The 6,237-nt window shown below is 35.0% G+C and overlaps 1 protein-coding gene across 9 annotated transcripts in view; it reads left to right on the top strand.

Annotated features, from left to right (window-relative positions):
* The window catches only part of LIPK (lipase family member K), a 46,528-nt gene extending 44,709 nt beyond the window's left edge, over window positions 1-1,819 (top strand). For all 9 annotated transcript variants that reach the window (XR_001747183.3, XM_011540075.2, NM_001378091.1 and 6 more), the window contains one exon: window positions 1,560-1,819. Coding sequence is in view for 8 of the 9 variants with exons in the window: in XM_011540075.2 (XP_011538377.1) it covers window positions 1,560-1,799 (240 nt within the window). In the remaining variant the exon portion in view is untranslated. The remainder of the gene's footprint in view (window positions 1-1,559) is intronic.

Genomic DNA, 6,237 nt, shown 5'->3' on the forward strand with positions numbered 1-6,237 from the left:
TCTGACTTCTTATCTATGTTTAATAACTAAGACTGCCTAATAGTTCTTTAGGATGTCATTTACTAGCCACTTTTTAAATACCATTATATGGATCATTAAAGATATAAGTAAGAAGTATCATTTTTAGGAGGTAGTAGTATCTGCCAGGGATAGTGTGCCTTAGCATGTCATTCCCTAGCAAATAGTACTATTTTCGATCTGGTGTGTCACCAGATCTACGAAAACTTTTAGAGAAAAGTTTTATATTAAAGGGAAATGTGTATTGTTATTGTTATTTTATTCCCAAGTATGTGAGGAAATCCAATAATGATTTTGGCTTCTTGCCGATAGACTGAGCTTAAACTGAAAAAGTAGTCATGAATGATACTTGGGTTTTTCAAATCTAGGATGTAGAAATTTGGGAAAAAAAAATTCTTTTTTTTAATTTCTTTTTTCTTTTACCTTTAAAAATAAAGTCAGGGTCTCATTATGTTGTAAAGGCTAATCTTGAACTCCTGGCTCAAGCGATTCTCTTGCTTCAGTGTCTCAAAGTGCTGGGATTACAGGCGTGAGCCACCATGCCCAGCCAAAAAATTTTAATGTGGGAATTTTTAATGTCATCATAACAACTACTATAACAACTATAATAGTGAAAATGTATAACTCAACTCTAACTGTTGTGAAAAACCTGACTTTTCTCCCCAGCTGCTATAGTTAGATGTACGTGGCAGGAGTGGGGTGGGGATATGCCACACACACACACTGTTTCAGAATACGGTTGTCTCTTGTGAGGAAACAGTGGTGACTAGGTTTACTTAGTTCATATAGTTTTTCCAAAGGCCCCCTAACCCCAACTCCCACCAAAAGATACTATATTCTCAATGGCTATGGCAAAAAGTTCTAGAGGGACCTCTGGCCCAGTTTTAGTCACGTGCCCATCTCTCATACAATCACTGTGACCTGAAGAATGGAGGACGAATTGGCCAGACCTGGTTACCTGGAACAGAGGTTGTGTTGTATCAATACAAGAAAGAAGCGGTAAGGGAAAACTTGCTGAGAGTTTATAGAGTGCTATAGCCACTCTAGTTATTTGTAACAGACTGACTCCTTTTTAGCATCATACTTCAAATGTCTTTCATGCCTTGGTCTCAATGCTCCCTGAAGAGTCTGCTGATTCCCAAATATTAATAATGCCACTGAGCCCAGATTTGTGACTAAGAGAAGGGATATTTATCCTATCCGACATTTTGTTTGAAAAGGTCACATTCTGAGATCAAATGCTAACTAGAAAGATGATCCCCCATGGAAAAAAGAATGCTCTTCCTCCAGAATCTTTTATTTTCCCAAACGTGCAAGTCAGAAATACAATAATTGAATTGTTTTTTTCGATTCACAATTCATATTACTGCACGAGAATGGTTTCAAGTATTTTTAACATTTTAATGTTTATATACCATTAAGTGTAAACTAATTGTACACTTGTAGCATTTAAAGAACTTGCTCAACAGCTGACAGTTAATGTTACTTCTATAATGTAATATTCTGTAAAAACTTTTCTCTCTCTCTTTTATTGTATTTAGCTTACACCTCCTTTATACAACATTACTAAGATGGAAGTTCCAACAGCAATATGGAATGGTGGACAGGACATTGTGGCTGATCCCAAGGATGTTGAAAATTTACTTCCTCAAATTGCTAACCTTATTTATTACAAGCTGATTCCACACTACAATCATGTGGATTTTTACCTTGGAGAGGATGCACCTCAGGAAATTTACCAAGACCTAATTATATTGATGGAAGAATATTTACAAAATTAAATGCACTTTACTTTCTCTAAGCAAGTGGATTTTCATAATAATAATGAGATGAACAGACACTAGAGTGATCCCCAGTGATTTCCAGCTTCTAGTATCTATGCCTTTGTATAATCTCCTCCCATTCAATGTGGGTGGGATATGAGACTTCTTTCAAGCCAACAGAACTGGCAAAGGTGTAAGATGTCACACCCTTGATTAGGTTTTGTCATATGGCAAAGGTGATAAAATGTCAATCCCTGATTACATTATACAAGAAGTTGGCGGGGCTTGGTGGCTCACGCCTGTAATCCTAGCACTTTGGGAGGCCGAAGCTGGAGGAGCACTTGAGGTCAGGAGTTCCAGACCAGCCTGGCCAACATGGTGAAACCCTGCCTCTACTAATAATACAAAAATTAGCCGGATGTGGTGGCATGCACCTGTAATCCCAGCTTCTTGTAAGGCTGAGGCAGAAGAATCGCTTAAACCCAGCAGGCAGAGGTTGCAGTGAGCCAAGATCATGCCACTGCACGTCATCTTAGCAGATTGGAGCAAAAGATTCTCCTTGTTAGCTTGATGGAATAAACAGATATGTTGAGAAAACTGACCTTACAAGGAACTGAGCATAGCTTTTGGAATCTGAGGGTGGCTTCCAGCTGATAAAACAGCAAAACACCAAGGCCTTCAGTCACATAACCTCAAGAAAATGAATTCTGCCCAAACCTGAATAAACTTGGAAGCCCATTCTTCCCTAGTAACCTCCCATTGAGAGAGCATCCTGGCCAACACCTTGAAGGTAACGTGGGGAGATCCTGAGCAGAGGACCCAGTTATGCCATGCCTGGACTACTGACACACAGAAACAGTGAGATAATAAATGTATATTGTTTTAAACTGCTAAGCTTGTGGTAATTTGTTATCAGCAATAGTAAACTACTACTACTATTTGTTATTGTTATATAACAATTATATTAATTATATGTTTGATTATATTAATTACATAACATAATATGATATTATATAATTTATAATTACATTATATACAATATATTAAAATATAATTATGTATTAAAGAATTAGATAACAATGTATAATAAATATGTAATATACTACATATGATATGTTATCTGTTATAATAAAATTATATATAATATTAATATATGATGATTATTATTCTGTCTCTTTGGTTAAAAGTTTGATAGATCTAAATTCTTGAGTTAACATATTTTAATATACATTTTCACATATTTTCTGCTAATTCAGTCACCTCTGTCATTTGGGAATTTGTTCTATAGATTGATTTTTCTCTTAGTTATGGGTCCTGCCTTATTGCATGCTTAATAATATTATATTGAATGCCAGACACTGAATTTTGCATTGCTGATTGCTGAATTTGTTTTTATTTCTTTATATAGGGTTGGAAAACAATCACCCAGGCACAAAGTCAATGATCAATGAATACATGTTTGGTGACTGGGAGTGTCAAGTAACATGAAGCACTTGATTGAGCCCTGTAGAAATTGGGGTATTTTACAACATGTAATTAATATAAACTTGGCTAAGACTCATTTATCAAGAATTTCCTGGCATAAATAAAGGGGCTGTAGACATGATGGGGAGGATATTAAAGGAGATCTGAGTCTTAGCAGGGGAAGGCTGGCTGGCAGGGCACCAGAAGCCTTCACAGGGAGACACCTCTTTGGTGGCTATGGCATATCATACTGGCATATCCTGACACTGATCTTGTCACTGCCCCAGAAATGACTGCACTTACACATGCTGATTCATGCAACTGAAATGTACAAGGATCTGCAGAACATAAAACAAAACACATGTTTATAATTTATATCAAGAACTACTATTTGGCCAGACTAGTGTTTTCTTTTCCTGTAATAAAACACATGGGAAATTCTAGTATGAAACTGTTGCTTGGTGTACATGGAAGAAAACACAGAAGTATATGGTTTGACAAAAATCATCCCCTCCACGATCATTCAAGTTCACTGAGCCTTTTCCATGAGGAAATAATAGTGTAAGCATTTTACATGAATGGTATCATTTAATCTTCATGATAGCCTTATAACATGGTATCATTCTTATCACTTTACAGATCAGGAAACTGAAGTTTAGAGATACTGGGCAACTTCTCTAAAATATTAGTTCTCTGAACTCTGAAACCTTGACTTTAGGTAACCAAGCTCTTAACCTTTATGCTTTAATATTATAAGTATGTATTATAAACTAGCCATTCAGAACAAGAAGAATGATAAGGAAAACACTGTTCCTGCCCAAGTGGCACTCAGAGTAATGAAAACATCAGATACTATACAGCTATAGTTTGAGTATCCTATGTCCAAAATGCTTGAGACCAGACATATTTTGAATTTTGTAGTATTTTCATATCATAATAAGATATGTTAGGGATGGAATCCAAATCTAAACATAAAATTCACTTATGTTTCATATACACTATACAAATAGGCTGAAAGTAAGCTTGTATGGTATTTTAAATAATTTTGTGCATGAAACAAAAGTTTTGACTGTGTTTTGAGCGTAACCTGTCGTATAAGGTCAGGTGTAGAATTTTTCACTTGTGGCATTTCAGTGCTCAAGAAGTTTTAGATTTTGGAGCATTTCAGATTTGGGATTTTTGTATTAGGAATGCTCAACCTATACTAATTTACATACTTAAATCTTTAATTTTAATTTAATAATTGTGATGAAGTCATCAAAAAGAAGTACACCCTCCCCAGGGTGGACAGGGAAGTCTTCTCTGAAGACATGAAATTTTGGCTGATATCCGTGATATCTGCCAGATATTACAGGTAGGGTACCAACTCAGGGGTGAGGAGCTAGGTTAAATTAAGAAAATTAAAGAAGCCCAAGGAGCCAAAGAGAGAATGGGTTGAGATGAGCTCAAAGGGGTAGGCAGAGTCTGGTTTTAGGCTCTCCTAGCCACTCACGGAATATTGAAAACAAAATCATTGAAGTCTTATTTTCAAGAATACTTAAAAGATAAGATCACATATGTGATTTTAAATGATGATAATAGCTATGATGTGGAGAAAAAAGAACTTCCTGAGACTGGGTAATTTATAAAGGAAAGGTGTTTAATTGACTCACAGTTCTGCAAGGCTGGGGAAGCCTAAGGAAATTTACACTCATAGTGGAAGGGGAAACAAACACGTCTTACATGGTGACAGACGAGAGAAGTGCAAGCAGGGGAAACACCAGATGCTTATGAAACTATCGGATCTCATAAGAACTCACTCAATATCATGAGAGCAGCATGAGGGACAGCACCCCCATGATCAAATCACCTCATACCAGGTCTCTCCCTTGAGATGAGATTTGGGTGGAGACACAGCCAAACCATATCAGAAAATATTTCACTAATAATGATATTGACTACATATGGAAATGATAATATTTTGAACACATTGGTTTAAATAAAATGCATTTTAAAATTTAATTTCACCTTTTATACTTTTTAAAAATGTGGCCATTAGAAAATTTAAATTAAATACCTAATTCACATTATATTTCTATTGGACCATGCTCAGATAGTGAAAAGAGTAAGGTAACTATCCCCTGAAAATTCTGGTTATTTCTAGGAAAATGGAATATCTCTGCATTTATAAGATTTTTTAAATGTATGGAAAAATGAAAAAATACAGACTGTGTAAAAGATATCAGATTGTGCTATAGTGGTTACTAGGTTTAAGAATAATTTGGAGGCTGAAAAAGAGAAAAAATGCTATCAGGTAGCAATTTTTAAATTGTATTCGTGTGGTTTGCAATCTGTAAATAGCAATGTATCTCTTCCAATTTAGTTAAAAAACAGGACAAGATTGAATTTTTCCCGTGAATTTCCTGTTTTCTATTAAATTTAGTAGGTAATGTTAAGAAAAATTTCCTTTGTAACAGCAAAGAAAGCCAGTGGAATTTACAGCCAAGTTGGTAGCATATCAAAGTAAAATACCTGACACATACTATGTACTTAATAAATAATAAATAATTCACTATTATTATTTATAATAACATTATTAGTATTCTTCAGTAACTAAGCTGCATTCTCTGGACTTCCAGAATCATCTATTCAATCACTCATTCACTCAGTCCGCAAAAATTTTTGATGATGATGGTGATTAGAGGAGGAATGAAATTAAGAAACTCTAAAAACAATTTATCTATTTTCAGGGGTGCTGGTGAGATTTGAAGGTGATTTAATAGTAACTCAAAATAGAACATTAACTCAGGAAAAAAAAACAGGAGCATATATCAAAACAACAATGTTACCTCTTTGCACATTCCAATCACCATTTATTTACTCTTGCAAATTAGATGAGACAAATTAAAACTAGATCCAACTTGAATGTCTAGCTAAGTGTCCTGTGTCTTTTTTTTTTTAAAGAATCTACATTTGAATATACCTCCTACAGAAATTCAAATACAAAATGAGC

This window comes from Homo sapiens, chromosome 10 (assembly GCF_000001405.40).
Source record: "Homo sapiens chromosome 10, GRCh38.p14 Primary Assembly".
Lineage (NCBI taxonomy): Eukaryota > Metazoa > Chordata > Mammalia > Primates > Hominidae > Homo > Homo sapiens.